General features: G+C 43.4%; 1 long non-coding RNA gene and 1 pseudogene across 10 annotated transcripts in view; both read right to left on the reverse strand.

Annotated features, from left to right (window-relative positions):
- The window catches only part of LOC102724078 (uncharacterized), a 187,103-nt gene that overhangs the window by 145,606 nt on the left and 14,785 nt on the right, over window positions 1-26,712 (reverse strand). The gene's annotated exons all lie outside the window — the stretch shown is intronic.
- On the reverse strand, window positions 10,875-14,050 carry LOC644110 (hyperpolarization activated cyclic nucleotide gated potassium and sodium channel 2 pseudogene; annotated as a pseudogene).

Raw genomic sequence — 26,712 nt, forward strand, 5'->3', positions numbered from 1 at the left:
AAGTGGGGAAAGGACACCCTATTCAACAAATGGGGCTGGGATAATTGGCAAGCCACCTTAGGAAAATATTACCAATATAAAAATCCACGGCAATATACTAAATTGTATTTTATAACTGATTAAAACAGGAATTGGGTAGTAAGAATTGGCAGTATTTATTAGTACTCTCCAGTTGAGAGACATGTTGGGGATAGAGAGTAGTCTGGCCTTGTCCTATATACCTATATGGATCTGGGGTAGTCTTCCAGATTCATATGACTTGTGTGAAATATCCCTTAAGAGTATCCAATTCCTCCTGGGCCAGGCCGTGTTGCATCCAGGTCACTTGTACCTCCCCTCTTTCTCTCCGAGGCTGCTTGTCCTCTCCCTGCATGCTCCAGGCCTCCTCGGACTTTCAGGGAAGCTCTAGTTGGGAAAGAGAGCTATTAATTAACCACCCACTTGCTCAGCAATTCAGTGTTATGCTAGTTTGCTTTCCTGTGGGGACAACCTCAAAATCTCGGGGGCTTATACCAACAGCTATATTCCACTTGGGTTAGATGAGGGCTGCATGTTGTCTATTGGTCTGATCCATGGGTTGCTTTTGCTCCAAGGTCCAGGCTAAAGGAGATGCCCTCTCTTGGGGAATGTCATGCCCCTGCTAGAGGTAGTCTCTGCTTGGACTGGGCACACTGCTACTTCGCTGCTCATTTCATCAACCCCAGCCAGCCACTGTGGGGCAAGCCAGTGTTCCTTGCTTGTCAGAGATGCTGTACTTTGCATACAATGGTGAAGAGAGTGAACAGCAGGGTGTAATTAAACAGTCAACCACAACCTGAAGCCACTTTCCCTGCTAAGTGGACCTCAACTCAATGGTCTCATTCTGAAAGATGTGGCCTAAATTCTTGCTTGGAATGGTAATTCCTCTCTAATAGACTCTGCTGTTCTCTTGCCAGTCAAGAGGACTGAAGGGGATTGAAGGTCTGAACCTAGGCTCAGTGGCTACTGCCCCTCCTCCACAGCCGCTGGCTTCCAGCAGACATTCCTGATGCTGATGTGCTCCTTGGAGTGCTGAGCTTTGGGGGAAATCCTGTTGCATGGTGCCAGACCCTCCTTCCCCATCTCATAACTCCATCACAGAGTTGGTCTACCATGGATGAACTTATCCTAGGTTCAAGATATTCTGCCCAGGTGACTAGGCTTCTCCAGTGACAGATGGACCACTGCTCTTACCCCCTCATACCTGCTCCATCTGAGCTACTGGCCAGCTGGCCTCACCTGCCAAAGGCAACTGGGCCATGACGGCTGAGTAATAAAAAGCAATGCTGTGCTTTGCTTCCAGACTCACCAAGAACCCTCTGGCTACTAATTTTGTGTAGCAGATTTGCATTTTGATCCACATCCTTAGGTGCTTATGAAATAAAACTTGGATGCCTTTTGATAATCATGTTCTGGGTGTGTACCCAAAAGTGGAGTTGCTAACTCATAGGGTATGATTTTGTTCAAAACTGACATACTGTCAATAGTTTTCCAAATTAATGGTAATAATTTATACCTACACCAGTAATATAATGTGTTTCTGTCAATCCTTAAATTTTAGCCATCATGAAGTTAAGTAATGTGATGCCTCTGGTTTTATTTTTCTTAGAATGACTTTGGCTCTTTTTGGGTTCCATATGAATATTAGAACAGTTTTTCTAATTCTGTGAAAAATTGCATTGGTAATTTGATAGAAATAATGCTGAATCTATAGTATGGACATTTTAACAATATTGATTCTTTCAACACACCAGCATGGAATGTTTTTCCATTGGTCTGTGTCATCTATGATTTCTTTGAGTAGTGTTTTGTAGTTCTCCTTGTAGAGATTTTTCACCTCCTTGGTTAGATGTATTCCTAAGTATTTTAATTTGTTGGGGGGTGGTGCTATTTTGAATGGGATTTCACTCTTGATTTGGCTCTCAGCTTAAAAACTATTGGTATATAGAAATGCTACTGATTTGTGTATGCTGATTTTGTATCCTGAAGCTTTACTGAAGTCATTTACCAGGTCTAGGAGTTTTTTGGTAAAGTCTTTAAACTATTCCACAAGGCTACAGTAACCAAAACAGCATGGTACTGGTACAAAAAGAGACACATAGACCAATGAGACAGTATAGAGAACCCAGAAATAAGGTCACACGCTTACAACCAACTGATCTTTGACAAAGTCAACAGAAACAAGTAATGGGGAAAAGACTCCATATTCAACAAATGGTGCAGGGAAAACTGCCTAATAATATGCAGAAGAATGAAACTGGACACTTAGCCCATATACAAAAATTAACTCAGGGGGATTAAAGACTTAATTGTAAGACCTGAAACTGTAAAAATGCTAGAATAAAACATAGAAAATACCTTTCTTTAGCATGGCCTTGGCAAAGAATTTTTGGCCAAGTCCCCAAAAGCAACTGTTACAGAAACAAAAATTGGTGAGTAGGATTTAATTAAACTAAAGAGATTTTGCACAACAACAAAAAAAATCAACACAGTAAACAGACAACCTACAGAATGAGAGAAAATATTTGCAAACTGTACATCCAACAAAGCAGCATCTATAAGCAACTTAAACAAATCAACAAGCAAAAAACAAATAACCCCATTAAAAAGTGGGCAAAGGACGTGAACAGATACTTCTCAAAAGAAGACATATAAGTGGCCAGCAAACAGATGAAAAAAAAAGTTCAACATCATTAATCACTAGAGAAATGCAAATCAAAACCACAATGAGATATCATCTCACATCAGTCAGAATGGCCAATATTAAAAGTCAAAAAATAACAGATGTTGGTGAGGTTGTAAAGAAAGGGGAAATTTTATACATTGTTGGTGGGAATGTAAATTACTCCAGCTACTATGGAGAGCAGTTTGGAGATTTCTCAAAGAACTAAGATTTGAGGTACCATTTGATCCAGCAATTTTATTACTGGGTGTATGCCCAAAGGAAAATAAGCCATTTTACTGAAAAGACACATGAGCTTATATGTTCATTGCAGTGCTATTCATAATAGCAACGACATGGAATCCAGGTGCCCGTCAACTCTGGATCGGATAAAGAAAATGTGGTACCTATACACCACGGAATACTATGCAGCCATAGAAAAGAATAAAATAATATCCCTTGCAGCAACATGGATGCAGTCGGAGGCCACCATCCTAAGTGAATTAATGCATCAACAGAAAACCAAAAGTCACGTGTTCTCTTATAAGTGGGAGCTATATTGTGGGTATATGTGAGCATAAAGATGGGAACAATAGACACTGGGGACTCCAAAAGAGGAAAAAGAGGGGAGAAGGGCTAAAAACTTCCTATCGTGCAGTATGTTCACTACATGGATGACGGGATCAATAGAAGCCCAAACCTCAGCATCATGCAATATACCCCTGTAACAAACCTGTATATGTACCCCCTGAATCTAAAGTAAAAATGTAAGCAAATAAAATAAAAAATGTAGGCCTCTTGATGAGTATACAGTGTTATCTCTTGGTTGGTTTACTTTGCAGTTTCCTGATGATTAACGATGTTGAACCACTTTTAATGTGAGCATTGATCATTTGAATACTCTTTTATTATGAAGTGCCTATCCAAACGTTTTCCCAATGTTTTAATTGAGTCTTTTTCTTACTGGCTTTTAGAAGCACTTTATATCATCTAGGCATAGGACCTTCGCTGCCATACTTAAAATATTCTCTCCTACTCTGTGATTTATGTTTTCATTATTTAAACATTGTATTTCATTGAAGATATATTCAATATTTTAGTGTAGTCTAACTTATCAATCTTTTTTATGTTTAAAGTTTCCTATATAGTGTTTTAAAAAATCTGTTCCTACACCAAGATCATTAATATAATCTGTTAGAATATATTCTAAAATTTTTATTGCTCACTTATTGCATTTAGATTTAAACTCCACAAGGAAGTTATAGTGTGTGTCTATGAGATGTGAAATAAGGCTCAAATTTCTTTTTTGAACATGAATACTCAATTAAGCCAACACTGTCATTAAAATGACTGTTCTTCCTTCACCATTCTGCAGTGTTACCTTTGTCTCCATCGAGTATGCATGCGGCTGGTTTTGTTCTTTTGTCATGTTCTGTTGGTATGTGTGTTTATATTTATGTCCCTACCATACTGTCTTGCTAATATATCTTTATAATAACTTTTAATATTTAATATTGACTTCTTTACGAAATAAGCTAAGCACAGAAAGACAAATAATGAACCAGGTGCAGTGGCTCACACCTGCAATCCAACATTTTGGGAGGCCAAGGAGGAAGGATCATTTGAGCCCAGTAGTTTGAGACCAGCTTGGGCAACATAGGGAGACCCTGTCTCTACAAAAAAAAAAAAAGAATTTAAAAAATTAGTCAGGCATGGTGATATAGCCTGTGGTCCCAGCTACTTGGAGGGTGCTGAGGCAGAAAGATCGCTTGAACCCAGGAGTTCAAGGCTGCAGTGAGCTATGATCACACTACTGCACTCCAGCCTGAATGACAGAGTGAGACCTTGTCTGAAAGAAGGAAGGAAGGAAGGAAGGAGGAAGACAGAAAGAAAGAAAGAAAGAAAGAAAGAAAGAAAGAAAGAAAGAAAGAAAGAAAGGAAAGAAAGAGGGAGAAAGGAAGGAAGAAAGGAAGGAAGGAGAGATGAAAGAGAAAGGAAGGAAGGAAGGAAGGAAGGAAAGAGAGATGAAAGAAAGAGAAAGAAAGAAAGAAAAGAAAAGAGAGAAAGAGAGGAAGGAAGGAAGAAGGGAGGGAGGAAGGAAGATATCACGTGATCTCACATACATATGAAATCTAAAAACCTTCTAAGAGTAGAGCTCAGAATGGTGGTTCCACGGGCTAGGGAGAAGAGGAAATGGGGAGATAATGGTCAGAGGACACAAATTTTCAGCCAGACAGGAGGAATGACTGAAAGAGCTCTATTGTACAACATGGTGACTGTACTTAACAACAATGTATTGTATACTTAAAAATCACTAAGGGAGTAAATATTAAAAGTTCTCATCACAAGACAATAATAAGTATGTGAGGTGGCGCATATATTAATTAGCTCCATTTAAACATTCTACATTGTACACATATATCAAAACATCATTTTGTATACCTTTAACATACAATTTTTTTGTCAATTAAAATTAAATATAGGCCAGGCATGGTAGCTCACGCCTGTAATCCCAGCACTTTGGGAGGCCAAGGCAGGTGGATCACCTGAGGCTGGGAGTTCAAGACCAGCCTGACCAATATGGAGAAACCTCGTCTCTACTAAAAATTAGCCAGGCGTGGTGGCACATACCTGTAATCCCAGCTACTCGGGAGGCTGAAGGAGGAGAATCACTTGAAGCAGGAGGCAGAGGTTGTGGTGAGCTAAGATTGCACCATTGCCCAGCCTGGGCAACAAGAGTGAAACTCCGTCTCAAAAAAAAAAAAAAAAAAAAAAAAAAAGTAAATATAGTTCATGTCCTTTGCAGGGACATGGATGAAGCTAGAAGCCATCATTCTCAGCAAACTAACACAGGAACAGAAAACCAAACACTGCATGTTCTCACTCATAAGTGGGAGTTAAACAATGAGAACACATGGACACAGGGAGGGGAACATCACACACTGGGGCCTGTAGGGAAGTGGGGGGCAAGGGGAGGGAGAGCATTAGGACAAATACCTAATGTATGCGGCGCTTAAAACCTAGATGACAGGTTGATAGGCACAGCAAACCACCATGACACTTCTATACCTATGTAACAAACCTGCACATTCTGCACGTGTATCCCAGAACTTGAAGTAAAATTTAAAAATATATATGTATAAATTAACCAATTTTAAAAATAAATACATACATACATAGAAAAAATATGACTTGTTTAATCATGGCCACTTAATTTGCCATGTAAGTCTTAAAATAAGAGTTTTGTGACTTCTTTCTTTTATGTAATAAACTTTTTACTTTTGGAATAATTTTAGATCTACAGAAAAGCTGCAAAAAAAGTAAAGAGAGTTATCTTATCCAGCTTCCCTTAAAGTTAACATGTTACACAACCATGCTACGTTTGCCAAAACTAAGAAACCAATATTAAATTCTGAATTTTCATTAACAGTAATGTATTTGCATTCCACTAAGTTTTTACACCAACGTTCTTTTTCTGTTCCCAGTATCCAGTTCAGGATACTATCTGGCACTTAATCATTACGTTTCCTTGGGTTCCTCTGGCCCGTGGCCAACTCTTAGCCTCTCCTTGTTACTGTGTATCGACAGTTTGAAGATTACTGGTCAGGTCCTTAGAATGCTCTTTAATTTGTGTTTGTCTGATTATTTTTTTCCTGATTAGGCTGGAATTATGAGCTTTTGGAAAAAATTCTGCAGAGGTTAAGCTTCCTTCTCATCACTTCATATCAAGGGGATGTGATATCAACATGCCTCATTACTGGTGATGTTCACCTTGATCATGTGGTCAAGGAGGCGTTTGCTAGGTTTCTCTACCACACAGATACTCTTTCCCGGCTTTCAATACTCTAGTCTTGCATGTGAATCACTAAGTCCAGGCCAGGCACAAGGTGGCCTGGGAGGTAGACACTAAGGTCCAATTCCTGGAAGAGACAGTATCTATTCATATTATCTGGAATTCTTCTACAAAGAGTTGTCCTTCTTCTTTCTTTTGTATTTACTTGTTCATTTAATCATTTATTTATATCAGTGTAACCTCATGTATATTGATTTTATACTTTGGGTTGTAAGCCAATACCATGTTATTTATTTTATATCAGGGTCACTTTTATATCTCTCTGATATGCCCCATCCTTTTTGCTTTTTTGAGCATTTTCATTATTCTGGCACTTGAAAATGATACACGCTTTTCTGGCTATCTCTTGCCTCAGTGCACAGACTAGCACCTCCAGTATCATGTTGAATAACAATGGTAAGAGCAGACATCCTGTTGTTTTAATTTCTAATCTCTGAGAATGCTCTTACAACATTTTTTCATTCAATATAAAAACACCTTTCTCACATTTAGAAAGTGTATTCCTATTTCTAATATAGTGATAGTTTCTTTTTTAACAATCATAACTAGACAGTTCAATTTTTTAAAATGTTTTTTTTCATGGAGAATTATGTTGATTGATTTTCATATGTTAAACTAATCTTGTATCCCTGGCCCCCAACATGACCATGATGTATTTTCCTTTATGTATATGTCACTAGACTCAGTTTGCTAATGTTTTTATTTGGATTTATTTTGTAGTTTTATGTTTTGAGACACAGTCTCACTTTGTTGCCAAGGCTGGAGTGCAGTGGTGCACAATCTTGGCTCACTGCAACCTCTGCCTCCCAGGTTGAAGGGGTCCTCCTGCCTCACCCTCCCAAGTAGCTGGGATTACAGGCACCCGCCACCACGCCTGGCTAATTTTTTTGTATTTTTAGTAGACATGGGGTTTCACCATGTTGGCCAGGCTGGTCTCGAACTCCTGGACTCAAGTGATCCGCCTGCCTTGGCCTCCCAAAGTGCTGGGATTACCGGCATGAGCCACTGCGCCTGGCTTGGATTTATTTTTAAGTCATATTCAAGAGAGAAATTGTCTTTCAAGAGTTTAGAGTAACTTATTAAGAATTCAAGAGCAATTTTATTTTTTCCGATACTCTTATTTTGGTTTTGGTTGTGACCAAGATTATCTTTCCCTCATTGGAAAGTATTTTCTCTTCTTCTATTCTCTAGAATGATTTGTGTAATATGACTTCTTATTTCTTCCTCAAATGTTTGGTGGTAAAAATCATCAGTAAATCCTTTGGGACTTGGCATTTCTTGATGACAAATTGTTTAATTACAGATTCAATTTTATAATTATAGGGTTGTGAAGACTTTATATTTTTGAATGCACTTTAATAAATCATATGCTTGGAGGAAGTTGTCTGTTTTTCAGCAATTTTTGTATAAAGATTTTCATAGTATAAAGATAATTTTGTATAAAGATTTTCATAGATTTACTAGTTATTTTTTAATACCTGTATGATCTGTGGCCATATCTCTGTTTCAGTCCTAAAATTTGTTATTTGTGTCTTAATTACCTTAGAATTCATTATAAATTATTTTCATATAATTTATATTTATAATAATTATTTTTATACTTATATTTATGTTAAATATATAAATTATGTAAACTATAAGTAACTGTATAAATCATCATGTATGATTTCATGTGTGTGTGTGTGTAATGAGTGAGACAGAGAGTGAGAATAATATAATCAACCACCATTAACCTATCACCCAGCTTCAAAAATTATCAACTCAGGGCCAAGTGTTTTATTAAAAACCCCATAAATTCTCTAATATGAACAGAGATGTAAAATTATGTTAAATACATTACAGAGATCTTTTCAAATGTTTATTGGGCATTCAGTTCATTCAATCAAGAATTGTCTTTTTCTTTTTTTTTTTTTTAAATTTTGAGACAGTCTTGCTTTGTCGCCCAGGCTGGAGCGTAGTGGCAAGATCACAGCTTACTGCAACCTCCGCCTCCCAGGTTCAAGCGATTCTTGTGCATTAGCCTCCCAAGTAGCAGGGACTATAGGTGTGTGCCACCACACCTGGCTAAATTTTGTATTTTTACTAGAGGCGGGGTTTCACCATGTTGGCCAGGCTGATCTCGAACTCCTGACCTCAACTGATCCACCTGTCTCAGCCTCCCAAAGTGCTGGGATTACAGGTGTGAGCCACCGCACCCGGCTGAAAATTGTCTTTTTCTATTGGGTCATTTTTCTATTCTATACTGATTTTTACATAACCCATTGGGTTCAAAATTATTCTTTTTATGAACAGCCAATCTAAAATAGCATCTCCCATCTCTCACGAAGCTCTATTCTCCCACCTGCTTTAGTTCTCTCCTTGGTACTTTCTGAAATCTGAGGTTTATCAACATATGTAATGACGTATTTATTAGTGTCTGCCTCTCCTATGAGGGGAGGATATTAGTTTTGTTTCCTACAGTTACCCTGGTGACTAGAACAGGGCCTGGCACATAGACATTCAATAAGGATTTGTTTGAATGGATTAATTAACTTGATTGATGTATAATCTGAATATACTAAGCCCCTGTCAGCTATATCACATGGTTAGAGATACATGATACCTAATCCTTGCTGGCTTATGGTGTCTTTTTGCATACAGGTATGTTTAACTTTAATGTTGTCAAATTATTATAATACCTATTTTCTTATGATTGTCTACATTAGTAAATCTGTCCCCATCCTGAGAACAAGAACATGATCCTTATTCTTCCAAAGACATGCTTAATTTCGCTGCTCACTATTAGGTTTTAATCTATCTGAAACATTTTTATAAACGGTGTCTGATAAAAATCTACATTTTTCCTGAATAAACAGTGTTTGGATCACTTTATCCCATAATTTACCTCTTACTTGCTGATCTGCAATGCATTTCTTTGCACTTAAGGTTTGATTCTCTTTTGCCTATTGGCTATGTCTATGTACTGCCACGTTGTTTAATTTTCATAGATTCCTAGTAGGTTTGATAGTTTTAGTTGGTGAGTGCCCACCCACTTTGGTTCCAGTGCACGATTTGCTAGAAAGACTCACAGGACACAGACAGCTGTTAGACTCACAGCTATTGTTAATTACAGTGAAAGGATATAGATTAGAAGCAGCAAGGAAAAAGGTGCACACAGCAGAGTCCAGCACTAAGGAGGAGGCATGGGCTTCCAGTTGTGCTCCACATGACTGACCTCAACCACTCAGTCTCCAGTCAGCTGTCTGCCACCCCCAGAGGTCAAAGTGACACAATGTGACCCAAGGCCCAGGCATACATAAACAGGTGTTCACTATAAAGCATGTTGATAGCATGTGGTGTGACCCAAAGCTTCAGGTTTACAAAGTCACTCAAATCACACAGAATATTACAAAGGCTCAGAGGTTATCTCCAGGAGCCTGTCAGGGACTGTCCTGAAGCCCTTCGGAATATGCAGGGTTTGGGCAGCCCAGGCCTGCTGAGTTAACACTTTACTGCACAGTTCTTCTTTTCCAAAATTTTTTTTTCTTGGCCCTATACACTTTCATATAAATTTTATATTTAACTTTTTTCAATGAAATACCCTGCTGGTATTTATATTTGAATTGCATTTAATTATTAAATATCTTCATAATATTTAGGCCTCTGATACAAAAACTTTGCCTATCTACTCATTCATTTTTAGTTTATTTTCTGTGTTGAAAGACAATGCTACATTTACTTCTGCATAAATGTTTTGCATATCTATGTTAGATTTAATTTTAGGTATATTGCTTTCTGTGAGTAAAGTATATACTTTATTTTTTTAAATTCAGGATATTTGCATCTCTCTCCATAAACGAGCTTGGACTATAATGCTTTATTCTCACATATTTTTATATATTTATTTCTGTTTCTTTTTCTATTCTCTAGTACAGATGATATAAGACTAGAAGTATCTGTACCTTGAATAGAATTTATTAGCAACACATCTTTGGTACTTTGTCAAAGTTAATTTTCAAGAGTTGATGTAATTCATTTAATTCATGTAGGACCATTAAAGTTTTCTATCTCCTGTAATTACTTCAGCTGGTATAAATTTTTCTAGGAAACAGGCAACTGTAATTTGCCATACTGTAGGTTGTCTAGTGGACCTGTAACTTCTGCCTGGCTCTCCCTGGCTCTTACATCTCTTCATTTCTGGAAGAAGTCAGCCACCACCCTGAGAGGACACTCAAGCAGCCCTGGGGCAGGAGGTTGTGTGGGAAGGAATGGACTTCTCAGAACCTACTTCCCAGAAATGTGAGTTAGCTGCCTTGGAAGTAGGTTCTCCAGTTCAAGTCTTTTTTTTTTTTTTTTTTTTTTGCCGATGCTGTCGTTCATTGCGCGGAATGGGGGTGTGGGGGTTAATTGGGCGTAGGGGCCACGGTGGGGGCACTGCTGCCTCAGCTGGTCAGTACATTCATCACGGTGGCGGGACCCCAGCCTCGCCCCCGCGCCCGGCGCAACCAGGCCCGCCCCTCGGTGCCAGTGCTGGAGGGAGCTGGGGTGCTGCTCCCCAAGGTCACCGCGGGACGCGCGTGGACCGGGGCCGGGTCGGTTATTGCATGAGCGCGATGGGGGCAGCGGGAAGCCGGTGGGCCAAGTATTGCACTTAAAAAACGATCCTCATCGGACGGCGGGCCACCTAGAGGGCGGGGGGCGGGCGGGGCTCCACAGCCGGCTCCTCTCAGCCACTGGGCCGCCCCGTCCCTGTTTTACACCTAGGGGAACTGAGGCACTGAGGTGAAGGGAGCCCCCTCGCACGCGAGGCCGCCGCCGGGGGCAGGGGCGATGGGAGTGGGCGCAGGGCGATGAGGGGGGACGGCCGGGGACGCGGAGGGGGCTGCCCCGCCGGCCCTGCCCGTCAGTCCAACTACGGCTACCTATGTCTTGTCTGTGGCTTCTGGGCGGGCTGGCGGCCGGGGCAGCGCAATGGCATGGCTTTGGTCTGGATGACGGCCCCGCCTCCGGCCCTCCTGGGCCCGCAGGGCGGTTGGCGAGGGTCACAAGTTGGACGAGAGGCGCGAGCGCGCGGAGTCCTGGGGGTCCAGGCCGCTGGCGGCGCCGGGTGAGGCGGAGTCCCTGCGATCCGGGCTGGGCGCGGCGGCCCGGGCAGCGGGCGTGGGTCCCAGGCGCGGTGTGGAGCTGCTGGCCGGGCGTGTGGAGGCCGCTGGGACGGGCGTTCCGTGGGGCAGCGAGGGCTGCGAGGCGGACAGTGGGCGCAACGCGCGGCTCAGGCGGCGCGAGGGCAGGGCGGTCCCAGCAAGGGGGGCGGCGGGCAAGCTGCCGTAGGGCGAAGTCCGCGGTGCCCGGGGGCTGGCGGGCGCGCCCAGGGGGCTGGCGGGGGGCGGGGGCCCGGGTGAGGCGGCGGCAGGTGCGGGCCCCGGGGGCGGGCGGCGCACGAGGCGCAGCGAGCCGAGCGCCAGCGGCCCCACGAGCGGCCGCGCCACCTGCGGGCAGAAGCTCATGACCACGGCCTGCTGCAGCGTGGCGATGGCCGAGGTGACCTGCGGCGGCGGCGGCGGCGGGAAGAGGCCCAGGCGCCGACCCAGCTCGGCCTGCTGCACCATCTCGCCGTCGTACTTGACGATCTCCTGGATGATGGCGTTCTACTGGTTGTTGAATACGCCCGAGTTAAGGTCATGCTGCACCTTGTGCAGGAGGATGGAATTCTTCTTGCCGATGCGGTCCAGGCGGTCGATGGCCACCGTCTCGAAGGCGCGCCGCATCATGGGGTACTCCTCCAGCACCTCGTTGAAGTTGTCCACGCTCAGCGAAAGGAGGCGGCAATAGGTGTTGGCCCGCACGCTCGCCATGCGGTGGCCCCGGGTGAGCAGGCAGATCTCCCCGAAGTAGGAGCCATCGAACAGCTTCATCTCCTTGTTGCCCTTAGCGAGCACGCTGACCACGCCGTGCTGGATGAAGTACATCTTCCCGATGGTGCCTTCGCGGATGAGGTAGTCACCCGGCTGGAAGACCTCGAACTTGAGCTTGGTCAGCATGGCCGTGACGAAGTTGGGGTCAGCATTGGCGAACAGCGGCATGGAGGTCACCAGCTTCCGGCAGTTGAAGTTGACAATCTCCTCCCGCAGGGGCCCGTTGAGCTCGCCCAGGATGCTGTCCTCGTCGAACATCTTGCCCTGGTAACGGTGCTCGTAGTAGTCGTGGATCTTCTGGCGGAAGTCGGCCGGCAGCTTGTGGAAGGACATGTACTGCTCCACCTGCTTGTACGTCTAGTACTGGCGCCGCGAGGAGTCCAGCGACTGGATGAGGGCAGTGGCGTGGCCGATGAACATGGCGTAGCAGGTGGCACTCACAATCATGCTGAGCATGGTCAGCCAGATGTCCGTCATGCTCTCGGGCGCCTGCCGGCCATACCCAATGCACAGCATGTGGCTCATGGCCTTGAAGAGTGCGAAGGAATACAGTTCGCTCCACCAGTGGTTCACCATGCCATTGATGGACACCCAGCAGTTGCACGGGAAGTCCTGCAGCATGGCCACCAGGAACTGCAGGCAGCCATCCCAGTGGCAGAGCAGCAGCATCATACTGATGAGGTTGCAGAACCGCATCACCGCGCTGGCCAGGTCATAGGTCATGTGGAAGATCTCCTCCCACTGGTGGATGTAGCGGATCAGGCGCGAGAGGCGCAGCAGCCGCAGGAGGCTGAGGATCTTGGTGAAGCGCACGATCCGCAGGGCGCACGCCGTCTTGTAGACCTCGGAGTCGATGCCCTTCTCCACGATGAGGAAGATGTAGTCCACGGGGATGGAGGACACGAAGTCCACCATGAACCACGTGCGCACGTACTTCTTGATCTTCTCTTGGTCCAGGATGATCTCCGTGTTGTCCTCGATCACAATGCCGGTGCGGAAGTTCAACACCAGGTCCATGAGGAAGAAGGTGTCCGAGACCACGTTGAACACGATCCACAGGGCGGTGGTCTCGTCCTTGAAGAAGGTGATGCCCACTGGGATGATGATGAGGTTTCCCACCATGAACAGCAGCATGGTGAAGTCCCAGTAGAACCTGAAGTCGCTGTACGGGTGGATGATCCAGGACCCCGCTGACTGGACGCGCTCCTGCTCGCGCTCCACGGCCTTCTGGCTGCCGAACATCCGCAGCGAGAACTTGTTGACGCCCAGCTGCAGGAGCGCGCCGAAGTGGCGCTGCATGAAGCTGGCCCGGCTGCGGCGCGGCTCCGCCGCCGGGCCGCCACCTCGCTGCCGGCCTCCTCCGCCGGCCCCGGCCCCGGCCCCGGCGCGGCCCCGAGGCCGCCCCGGGGCACAAGAACTACACCTTGGGCCCCCGCGCCGGGCCCTCGGGCCCCGCGGGGCTGCACTGCGGCTAGCCGCGCCCGCACTCGGCCGTTCCGGCTGCCCTTGGCCGTGCTCGCCGTGCCCGGGATGCCGGGGCTGCCGCACTAGCTGTCGCGGCTGCGGCGCTGGCCCCGCGGGCCGCCCTCCTCCGCCGCCTCCGGGGGCAACGCCTCGGCCCGGGGCGGCTGCTGTTGGGGGGGCGCGGCGGCGGCGGGGCTCTCCCCGGGCCGCCCGCCGCCCCCGCGCGCGTCCATGGCGAGGCGGCGCCCGGCAGTGCGGAGCGGAGCCCCCGACCAGTTCAAGTCTTTACATGGCCGTTACCCCAGACATCTGCCTGAAGCCTCCTGAGAGCTCCCAAACCAGAAATATATATTTGAGCTGCTCCTAAGTACATGACCCACCCACAAATGAGAGATCATCAAAGATTATTGTTTTTGAAATCACTAAGTAGGGGGGCGACCTGTTATGCAACAATATATTACTAATACAAATGTTTTCTTATGATTACAAATAAAAATTGTTATTTGACTGACTTATGAGGATTTTAAAATATTAACATACAATCTTTTTTGTTATTTTTTATTTTGATTTCTAATTGCATTGCCTTACGACTGAAGAACAATTGGATAACGTCTGCATATCTTTATTGAAAATTTTCTTGTATTTATGGCACATAGCCCATTTTTATAAATGTTCCATGAGTGAATGAGAATATGTACTTTCTAATTATTTGTTGCAGTTAAATATTGACACACTTGACAAATATGTGATCACTTTACTTACCAATTTCTTCATGAAGTTCTGACTGTGCATAGTTGATATTATGTTCTTAGGTTTAGACAAAAACTGTTGTCTATTTCTGAGGAGTTGTATACTTGACCCTCATGTACTGAATGTATTTATTCCTAATGATACATTTTACTGTATGGTTTATTTTTCTGGATGGTAATAATACCATGGTGGCTTTCTTCTGATTAGAAAATGTCTGCTATATATTTTCCTTCCTTTTATATTAATATGTCTATTTCCCTATACTATACACATGTTTACTCTCAACATTTTTCTGTTATAAAATATTTCAATACGAATATCTATGTCTTTTTATTGGCATGTATTCATCTCGTCTCCATCCCATTTGTGGAGGAGAGATTCCCACACTGGGGTTATGGAAATGACTGGACACATGACACCCAACACTAGACAGTTGAGTTCACACCAGCTTATTAGTCACAGGCACACACAGCCCAGGGGAGGATGGAACCACATGATGTGGGGCCACATGAGGGCTGCGCTTGGAAACAGAGTGAACAAGCAGGAGCTGAGGGAGTCAGGCTTTGTAGTAACAAGAGGGTGGAGTGACACTTGCTTCCGGGCTCTGCCACCCATGATAAGGAAGGTTGTCTAGTGGACCTGCCACTGGAGCAGGGTGGGTAGGGGTATTATAGTTAGGCTATTCAAGGTCCTCCAGATTCTACGTATAAAGTGGCAGATAATGTTAATTTTGTGCCTTAGAAGAAACATCTTTTGATCGTTTATATTTATTATTTTACCAATACATTTAGATGTATTCCATTCTTTTTATTATATGCTATGTATTATGCTCATTTTTCTGTTTTTGCTTTTTAGTATCTTGCTGGAGAGCTATACATTTTATTTCCCTATTTTTGAAGATTCCCTTTCATATTTTAATACATATAGTTAACTATACAGTTTTAATTCCACCAGTTAACCAGGATAATTCAAAGACCTTAGGATTCATGAATTCTAATCAGCTCCCTTTCAAGTTCCATTATTTAAAATCTGGTATTTTAGCTTCACCTGGTTTTTTAAATCTGAAATTAATTATGCTGTAGTTACGAGAACTGCCATCATTTTCTATCTTTATCCTGCTAGATGGGTCAACTGGAATCCTAGGTGGAGGGCCTGCCCTTCACAGCTGCCTTGTGTTTGCTTCTGCTAGAACCCTGTGGTGACACAGTGATGGCCACCCTGATATCCCTTCAGGAGTAAAGGGCTTATTGCCCCAAGACTGACAGTGCTGCCAGCAGAAGCCCTGGACAGACAGTCCTTTCAGGAGTAAGGACTTACTGCCTGCCCCATCTGACAGTGCAGTCAGGTGCCAGCCCTTCCGACATGGCCCCACCACCCAAGGTCATGGCCCCCTCCCAGAGCATCCCGAGACTGATTCACTTGGAGCACTAAGGGCCTCGCCTCTCGCCCTACTCCAGATAATTCTTAAGAGCCACGTAATCTTTAGAACTCCCTGCAAGGCTGGCTGAGTCTTGCCCTCTTCCTCGGCCCAGTCCCAGTCCTGCTTTCTACTCCTCACTTCCAGGTGGAGATTCCAAGAGCATTCCCTCATCCCTCTCCTGCATGTCAGTCTCTGTCTCAGAGCTTGCTTCCCACAACAATGTCACAGTGGTATTACCATCCAGGAAACAATTCCTATCAGTGTCTTACTTTGTCCACTCCCAAGCCACAAGGAGAGCATGAATTCACACGTGAATACACTGGAGGCATCAGCCTTTGCCTATAAATTCTTAGGGGAGACTTTACCACCTAGAACCTGCGATCAGTCAAACAGGCTCTCTGTTGTTTCTCTGAACCCACAGGAGGTTGAATGTTTTTCTAGTCTCTGGCTTACTGGGAGGGAGGGGCAGTGTCAGCATATAGGACAGGCTTACTGTGGATCTAGGTCTAATTTCTACCTGATGCAGCCCAGAGCACCACCTCCTACTATAAAACAAAGATGTCAGTGAGGTCCACTCATGTGCTTTACAGTTCTGGTTTGCAGATTCGTCTTAAAATGTGGTCTTGGGACTTTGTTGGAATTTCAGCTCCCCATTTGAAACTGTTTGCTACAGTATCCAGTACTTCTGAATGTTCTGCACTAGGGAGATACTCAATTATCTGCTCTGCCCTATTGCTGGGAATGAACATCTTCTCATTATAAATGATGTAAGCATTGTTTATGCATTTTTTATGAGCTTGATTTGTGAGATTCGTCCTTTCAGAGACCTATTCTTGTAGGAACTGGTATAATGAGGTTTCTAAATCTAAAATGCATAGAATCTCAGGCTCTGCTGCTGTGGAAACTCCTCCAGGTACAGACACAATTGTACAGACAGTGCAGCGCAGCTAATATCCTCATCTCAAAGAGATCCGTTTAGTTGAACGCATTATCTACCAAAGAAATCAGGCCCTTGCGTTCATTTGATAAAGGAAGTCCCACTGGATTGCATATTTCCATCTTTTTCTTCTAAACTCTATGACTCCAGAACCGGGCTCAGGGCCTGGAAATCATAAGGGCTTAACATAGTTATTTTGATGAATTTTTTAAGAAGTGATTTTCCTCATTCTGTACTTTCTTCCAAAGAGTGAAAAAGAAATCGATTTTGCTGAGTTTTTGGAATAAATCAAATATGTTAGATATGGTTTTTCTACCTTATAGAGGAGTAACAGTACCATGGTTTCTGAAAACTTGAAACAGCACAGAAGTGGCTGCTCTCAGCCTAGACAGGAGTTCTCCTGAATATTATCTGTGAGTAATGACCTTCAAGTTCATATGAATAGCACTTTTCAAATGGGCCCTAAAACATTCTTCTTTAACTTTAAAAAGACTTGGAAGTAATATTTCTCTGAATTACTGCACTGCACAATGAATGTCTTTCTTTGCCAGTGAAGGGTGTCTCTGGACTAAATAATTTTGTTTTGCACCAAAAATAAATGTATTCTACTAAGGAATTATATTGGAGTACATGTAAATGCCTAGCTTAAAAAGAAATGGCTCACATTAAGGTAAAAGCTCATAGTTTAAAAATTAGACTTCCACCTTCTTGTAAGGAGTAATGCCGCATCCTTTCCAACTGTCCTTTGATGAAGAAGATTAGCAGATGAATGGATACAACTCTTCCAGCTGAAAGAATCCTTAGAGGTCATTAAAGGGAACTCCCTACCTAATATGAGTATTGACATTACAATAGATAACAAAGAATGGGCTTGGGAGGAATCAGACATGGATTCTTTGAAACCAGAGCCATCCCTTCTTGCCTTTCTCTGTGCTCGGCTCAAGATTACCATCAGTAATTTCCTCTTTCCTTTCTTCCATCAAGACAAACCTGATCTGTCCTGTGCTACACTTTCTCAGTTCTTATCAGGTGACAGAGTGCTTCATGCTAAGTTGCTAATAGTTTTTCGGTTTTTTTTTTTTTTAGATGGAGTTTCACTCGTCTCCCAGGCTGGAGTGCAACAGCACAACCTTGATTCACCGCAACCTCCGCCTCCTGGGTTCAAATGATTATCCTGCCTCAGCCTCCCGAGTAGCTGGGATTACAGGTGCACACTACCATGACCAGCTAATTTTTATATTTTTTAGTACAGCCAGGGTTTCGCCATGTTGGCCAGGCTGGTTTTGAACTCCTGACCTCAGGTGATTCACCTGCTTCAGCCTCCCAGAATGCTGGGATTACAGGCGTGAGCCACTGTGCCCAGCCAGTTGTTAATAGTTAATAATACCTTGATCTCATACCACTTTCCTGCAGAATGTTCAAGTGAAACATTAACTTTATTTCTAATTTAAAATAGAGATCTTTGGGGCTTATGTAGGCTATTATATAGGGCTGAATCAGATAATTTGGTTTGATGCTCTTTTTAATGCTCCCAAAGTCAGAATGCCTGTACTCTACCTGTGAGGCTAGTCCTGACGTGGCCTCCAGATGGACTACTCCAGAAAGGTTTTCCTTCATATCATTTGCCAGTTATCTGAATCCCTCTGTCTTGGGATGAAGATTGAGCACACACTCAATGCATTAAACACAAATGACCTAAGTGAGCATTTAAAAGCTGATCTTGGCAACTTTGGTAATGCTGGGAGTAATGTCAATTATTTTTAAATTATAAAATTATAAAATTACTCTGAATGTACCACACTGACTTGCTTTTCACTACAACATTCTAGAAAGCAGCGTGGATCAAGGCTTTTTCTTTTGCAGAATCTATCAAATTTCAGGAGGGAGAGACATGAAGGACCCGAGCACAGACTGGGGTAGACGGTGTCTCTGATGGGTCCTGGTGATTCCTGCCTCCTGGTAGGCAAGCCCTCCCCTGAGTTTCAGCTGGACTTAGTGACTCACTTCTAACATACAGAACACAGCAGATGTCACTTCTGAGATTAAGTTACAAAAAGGCAGTGTCTTTTGCCTTGAGCACTCTCTCTTGCTCTCTGCTCAGTCTGAGGGAAACCAGCTGCTATGCTGTGAGCTTCCTAATGGAGAGACCCACAGAGTCAAGAACTGAGGTGGCCTCAGCTAATAACCAGCAAGGAGCTGAGCCCTCTGTCCAATAACCTGAAAGGGGCTGAATCCTGCCAACTCTACAAGAGTTAAGTTTGAGTGGCTCCTTGCTCAATTAAACCTTTAGACAAGATTACAGTCTGAGCTGACAGCTGGATGGTGACCTTGTGAGAGATTCAGAGCTGAAGATGCATCCAAGCCATATCCAGTTTCCTGGCCCACAGAAACTGTGAACTAATGGTGGTTTTAAGCCTGTATGTTTGGGGATGATTTGTTGTGCAACAATTGATACCTAATACACAAGGTAAAACATATAGAACTATTCTGATTTAATCTTTTCTTCTGGAACTAACAGCAAGAGGAAACCAGTTCTGGTTAATAAAAAAGTTAAGAACTGATGTGGCCAGTTAGCAATTTTTTTGTATTTCTTTAAAATATTGCATGTCTTAAGTATTGTATGTGCTTATCTCAATATAAGGCAAAATACGTTTACAATTGTGTTTTAGAATTCAGGCTTCACAGCCAACACCCAGGCACCATGGTCAATGATTGCTTTGGACTCTAAATGAAAAACGATTGAATGTTAAGCTTGCAAATGCAGCATTATAAGATATCAATTGTGGCAGGCATCAGAATTCTCCTGTCTCTAACTTAAAATTGGGGGCTCAGCATAGCTCCTCCCCCATTTTTTATACTTTTAATCAGATACAGTCATCAATACTTTTCTAAACAATTATTTGAATTTGCTCTGCTTAGCAATACCTATTACTAGACCCTCATCACTTGAACTCAAGTAAAAAAAAAAAAAAAAGGGAGAGAAAGATATCTTATGAGCACCTGTCAAGTACGAGGTCCTACACCTGATATTTATAGAGGCAAAGATGGAGTGGTCTAGTGTCTATGCTCAGATAAGTGGCTGCAAATTAGGGATAAGTAAACACTACACAATGCATCTAATATGAGGCAGAAGATGTCCAATGCCACAGAGACATACCAAAAAAGTGACATGAGGTTTCAAACCAGAGAGACTTCAGAGCTAATCGAGAAGATCAGAGAGGATATGTGAAGGGTCTCATGCCCAGCAGCTTGGTGCCTTGTCAGCTCCACGCAGGGATGGATTACTCTGCAGTCACATGAGAAAGTGGCCCAGCTTCTCAGGGAGCATCTCTTCTGAGGCCATGTCTTCTTTTCTGTTGACACCCATCACAGTGAGTTGGTCTCAGGTCCATCTTTGACCTGCCTGCCCGAACTCCTCATTGGATATGAGGTTCTGTTTCCCCAGTACTCTGGGACCTGGTCCCATTTCATTCCCCACATACAGTGTTGTGCTTGGTCATGGAGGGAACAGGTAGGCCACACTTCCCAAGCCAGCCCCATCTGGTTTCCCAGTCCTGAGTTCTCTGCTTACTTTGGAAGGCAGCTCAGACAGAGTTGACATTTGTGATGAGGAATGGGGTAGATGGCAGTGTAGAGGGAGATGCTCAACCACCTTGGAGTGAAAAACACCAGGCACACAGCTTAAAGCTGGAGGTATGTAAATACTGTACCCTCTTCTTTGTGTTCAATCTAGGAAGCTTCCAGGATCAAATATCATGGTTTACAGAACTGTCCTTGCAATTGAAGGTTTTATGTAATGGATAGTGTTTGTTTCTAGGAGAAGGTCTAAAGGAATTTGCCTCTATGGCTGGTTTTATCCTCTGTAATTTAGGGGACACAAAAGGGGTACTTAAAAATGCATGCTTTCAGTAGATTTTATTTAAAATAATCTACATAACTTTGGTATGCTGGGAGGCAAACAGGGGGTCTAACTGCACTTTATAAAGTATGGGATGGCAAAAGATGAAAAAAATACCAGCAGTTTTCCTCTTGGACTCTAATTGAATTCACTCTTTTGCAATATAGGTCATTATAGTAACAGCAGGGGCTGTGGAATTATGAGAGTGGAGAAGATATTATAATTTTGAGATCCTTAAATTCATGGTGAATAGAGTTTTCTTTCAGTCATATTTGGTGAGGAATATATTTGACACCCAAGAGAAATTTGGAATATCATTAAGTCAATACATTCTGTGAAGACCAAAATTCTTTTCTCTATTATCATGGAGTCTTAGGACAAAAAAAAATTGTGAGAAGTCAGAGGATGGAATAGATTTTGGGAGCAGTGTGAATAACGGTGCTATATTGGGAAAGAGTAGATTAGGGTGAGGATTGGAATTTAAAGATCTATTGAAGGGAAAAAAAGACATCACAGGGTTATCAGTTTAATAGAACTGATCCAAATATCAGAAAAAAAAATGATCAGACATGGTGCCCAGTATAGAATGAGTGAAAAGAGGATGATGAAGATAAGTTATTAGGAGGCTACTGTAATAGCTCAGGCCAAAAGAATGAACATGTATTACTGTGCCTGCCTTAGTCCAAAGATGAGCAATGATCTCTAAGACCATTTAGTGTGCTAAATTGAGAAGCCAGTAGGAGACAATTTTGAACCATTACTAAGTTATTTGAGCTTTCGATGAGAAAAGCATGCAATTCCCTTACTCAGGTTATGTTGGGATTTGAAATGTAGACTGAAGTATTTCTAGCTTCCCCATAATCAATTTCAATTTTGCCAAGCTTTGAGGCGATGGGAATTCAATGAGGGTCATTAATCCTACTGAGAATAAAGCAGACACAGTCCACAGAGTTTCAGGCTCTGATTGTGTGTAGACTCAGCCATTGTATATAGGCCATGGTCCAGCCAGCTGCACAGGAGCTCCGTGGAGGCCCACAGGCAAAGTGAGAAAGTAGGTATCAAAAAAATTGGGATCATGTCTTTGTTCCAGCCACTGGGTCCTCAGCCCCGTGGGGCATGGTTGTCCTTCTCCTCTGACCAAAGCACATGTGCACTGCCAGCCTCTGGTTCAGGGACCTTCTGCCCTGGTGAGCTCTCACTCTCTGGGCTACTGAGAAGCTGTCTGCAACCATCATGTACCTGTTTTTAGTTGTGACTGCTTTGCTGGATGAAATGTTCGGGCATTGATATAACCTCAGCGAACAGTAAGGCATAATTTGTTCATACCATGTCCTCCTTATTAGAACCATCAGAGAACTGTGAGATCTCAGAGTTAGATATCTATGCTTCTTTGGGTCTTAAAAACCCTTTGAATTATATGAACAGTGATATTTCCTACTTACACTAACTGCTAGGAAGTTCTGGATCTGTGTGTTCTCAGTTCTAACAAAGTGTCCAGAACCTGAGTGGATACTTTATTTTTTTCTGTACTCATTTGCCTTTTTCTGGCTTTATTTTCCTGTCCTTTTTTTTTTGCCCTTTTCCCATTTCTCTGCTTTAATTTTTTTTCTGAATTTCAAGTCCTCGTTGAAAATAAAACTGGTGATACAAAATTATGTTTACAGAAAAAAGCAGCCCTTCAGCTTATTATACTTTTATTTTGATGAGCACCAAAATATCTTTTTCTTCAAATCAACACATGAGGCTTTTTTACTTAACAAGTTATTTCCTAATTTGAGACATCCTTTCTCACATATGATCATCTTTTGCAAGTTAAGTCACCTACACTTATTTATCAGCTTTGAGAAATCTCCTCCAACCACAGTATTTCCACGATGAAATGCACATTTTCATGAAACACACATCTTTTATAAATGTGCTGTGATCTGCAGCCATAAAATGGCCATCCACAGTTATTGCTTTGCTACTGAGCCCGTCTGCACCAGCACCTCCCCTGACCATCTGTTGCCCAAACCCATGCATCCTGCGAAGGCATTTGTTCACATTGCTTCCTGTCAGCCTCCAGCCTTCTCTCCTTCTGTCTAGTCACAACCTTGTCATGAGTTCTAGTGCCAGGACAACTGTAGAACTATGATCTGATTCCAGGGCCCAAAACGTCATGGTAAGCTTGAGACCCCTGATTGCCACTCTTATGGAAGCCCCATTGGCCACGCTGGCATCTTGTATTTGTGGACCACAGGGTATAGAGATTAAACCATCTCATTAGCACCCTCTTGTGAATAGAAAAGAGAACCCCAGAGACTGGAGGGAGAATCCAGCCCAGACTGAGGGATGGGCAATCCTCAACCAGCCTCCCCGCAGCTGGGATTCGAAATGTAGACTGAAGTATTTCTAGCTTCCCCATCATCAATTTCAATTTTGCCAAGCTTCGAGGCAAAAATGGACACTTTTGTCTGTCCAGACACAGACACTTCTCCATAAGCATCTTTGGCAAAAGGAACTTCAGGATCAATTTTCTTCACATATGCATGGAATTGGTTTGAAAAGAGCCACACCTGTTTACCCGCAATGCAGCTAAAAAAGAGCCACATGCAAAGAAAGAGTGGGATATAGTGAAAATACCATGGGATCTGGTATCAGTGACCCTGGAGCCTACCACGGCAGAGTCTGAGCTGGGGGTGTTGGTTTCACCATTTGAAAATATGGCTAATAAGGTGTTCCTTATTTTTTAAAAATGCAAGGGATAATGTATATAAAAGAATGATGAAATGTTTGGTTTCATATTTTATGGTGCTTATTTACATACTTATTATTCCAAACAAGAGGTTATGCTTTAAAATCTGGAGAGGTATTTCCGACCTGGTTTCTCCAAACTTATTACTTTTATGGAGAGGAGAAAATAGGAACCTATCTTATCTATTAAGATCGTAAATTAAATCAGTACTTGATACCCTCAGTAGCAGATTTAATTGCCCATATAAAAAGAGAAGGTAAGTTTTGACAATAAATGTAAATGTAAACAAGGTCATCCTGAAACATCACAGCATTCTGGCACAGTTATTACCTATATTGATTATTTTGTTTCTGTGATAGTTAATTTTATGTGTCAGATTGGCTAGGCCAACCTACTCAGCTATTTGGTCAAATACCAGTCTCGAAATTGCTATGAAGGTATTTTTTAGATGAGCTAAACCTCTAAGTCAGTAGACTTTCAGTAGGGCAGATTGCTTTCCATGTGTGTGGGGGCCTCATCTAGTCAGTAAAGGCCTTCAGAGAAAACAGACTGGAATTCCCTGGGAAAGAGGGAATTCTGCCTCCAGACCGTCTTCAGAGTCTAGATGCAACTCTTTCCGGGGTGCCCAGGCTTCTGGCCTGCCCTGCAGATTTTGGACTTGCCAGACTTTATGATTAAAGGAACAAATTATTATATAAATTATGAATATAATTCTTTATATGAATCTCTCTTTATCTCTGTCTCCTGCTCTTCTCTCTCTCTATAAATAATATATATATGCAGTTATCCATATACATATATATACACATATATACATTCTGTGAACATATATAAACACACACACACATGCACACATCTTATTGGGTCTGTTTCTCTGTAGAACCCTGACTAATACAGTTTCCCTCCTTTTCCCCAAGAACAGGAGAAACTGAACTGTGAGTGGAACAAGCCACAGGGAGACAAGAAATCAAGAAATGCTGTCCCCTCACCTCTCTGCTCAGCGTCTTCCCAATGGTAGTAAAAATGTTTCCCTGCTCTGCAGATGAGCTGCTCAAGCTCCCTGGTGGGTGCAGGGGAGCTCCACTGCCTGTGTGTGACTGTCTCTCTCTCCTCTGTCTTTCTTTCCCTTCCCCACCCAATTCCTGAGTGGGAGGCTGGCTCATCTTGGGGCGGGTGGACCAGGGAGATGCCCTGTGGCAATGGCCTGTGAAAAGGCAGGGGTCACACGCACATGGTGCTCTGAGCTCTGGGAGGAAAAGCACTTCCAGCAGGGGAGAGCAAGTCCAGGCCCCACTCCAGAGCTGGCCATGTCCTCTGGCTATGTTTCATAGCCCTAAGTAGTGTTCAGATTTCATTTAGATGAAAACAAACTTTTGACCTAATTGATATTTATTTAGATATTCATTTCATTTATCCACTTGATCCTTTGGATTTGGAGCCTAGCAGAGTGTCCTTTCTCTCCAAATCACCATCATCACTAACTGAGGCAGAAGCAACATGCCAGCCAAGTTGGTGGCCTCCCCACAACAATGGCTTCCTGGTGCTGCAGGTGGAAGGGAGCTGGAAGTACCAGCATTCATTCCAAATTCACACACTATCGAAAGCCCACTGGAAAATGACTTGCTCATAAATTACCCTGAATTTGTGTTTTAGATAAGATGTGAGTAAATTATAGCTATTATCTATTTTCACTGTTTCTAGTGTAAGTGAATGATAAATCCTCCTCCTCCCTTTCCTCTTCCTTCTTCTTCTTTTCTTCCCCCCCTTTCTTTTTTCTGTTTTTGGAGACAGAGTCTCACTCTGTTGCCCAGGCTGGAGTGCAGTGGCACCATCTCAGCTCACTGCAACCTCTGCCTCCTGGGTTCAAGTGATGCTGTGCCTCAGCCTCCAGAGTAGCTGGGATTACAGGCGTGTGCCACCACGTCCAGCTAATTTTTGCATTTTTAGTAGAGACAAGGTTTCACCATGTTGGCCAGGCTGGTCTCAAACTCCTGACCTCAAGAGATCCATCCACCTTGGCCTCCCAAAATGCTGAGATTACAGGCGTGAGCCACCATTCCCGGCCTCTTCCAATATTATAAAACATGGTATCACTCATTTAAGCTTCTAGAGCTAGTTGTCTACACACCTTCATTCATTTACTCAGCAAATAATAATTGAGGGTCTGCCACTTTATCAGATACTATTAGACCCCATAGTTTTCATCACAGGCCAAAAAACCAAGTTTCCTTGATTTCCAACATTCTAACTGATCATGGCAGTGGCGGATACAGAAGAACCAAAAACCCCAAAATGTACCACATGAGATCATAAGTACTCTAAAAAAAAGAGGAGAAGAGAGAACAGGTAAAATAAGGTCATGTGGGAGGTGGGTGTGAAATGGTGATGAGTGTGGGCCTCCCTGAGAAAGTGACATTTAAGTCAAGACTTGCAGGAGGTAAGGGCTGTGCCCTGAGGATCCCTGGTGAAGAGCAGTCAAGGAAGAAGGAGCAGCACTCACAAAGGTCCTGAGGCTGGAGAGGAGGTGCTATAATCCACACAACTGTAAGAAGCAGGTGTGGGCCTACGCAGAGGATGGAGGGAGCTAACAGAAAGTGAAGATGAGACTGTAGCTTCAGTCTGAGGGAACATAACGAGCCACTGCTTTGATCACTGGAAAGATCTTTGCCACGACTTCAATACTCTACTCTAGGAACCAAGTTTTGAGCCTACTTTGGCATTTGTAGGAAGAATGTGTATCTTTTCCTTTATTGCAACTAAGGCAGAGAATTCTCTAACTCTAGGAGAAGAGCTCATGTCCCCTGGCATTTTCCTGACCCCAAGCTGAGATGCTTGGCATGAGTTAAGAATGGAAAGAGCTGTTTCACTAAATTTGTACCAAACATTGGGTGTTGTTTTGGATCCGTGGAACAGTGGGTGACACCAGCAGGAAAAGAAGAATGTTTTTCCCACTGGAGGTTAGGACCCCAGATGAAGCAGCAGCTTTAATCGGCTTTGAATCAGCTTTGAGTAACCAGTGAGCAAATCCATGTGTCTCTGACCAGGGAGCTGTTCATGCTGCCTGGACCTCCTATATGTCTGA

Source organism: Homo sapiens, chromosome 15 (assembly GCF_000001405.40).
Source record: "Homo sapiens chromosome 15, GRCh38.p14 Primary Assembly".
Classification (NCBI taxonomy): Eukaryota; Metazoa; Chordata; class Mammalia; order Primates; family Hominidae; genus Homo; species Homo sapiens.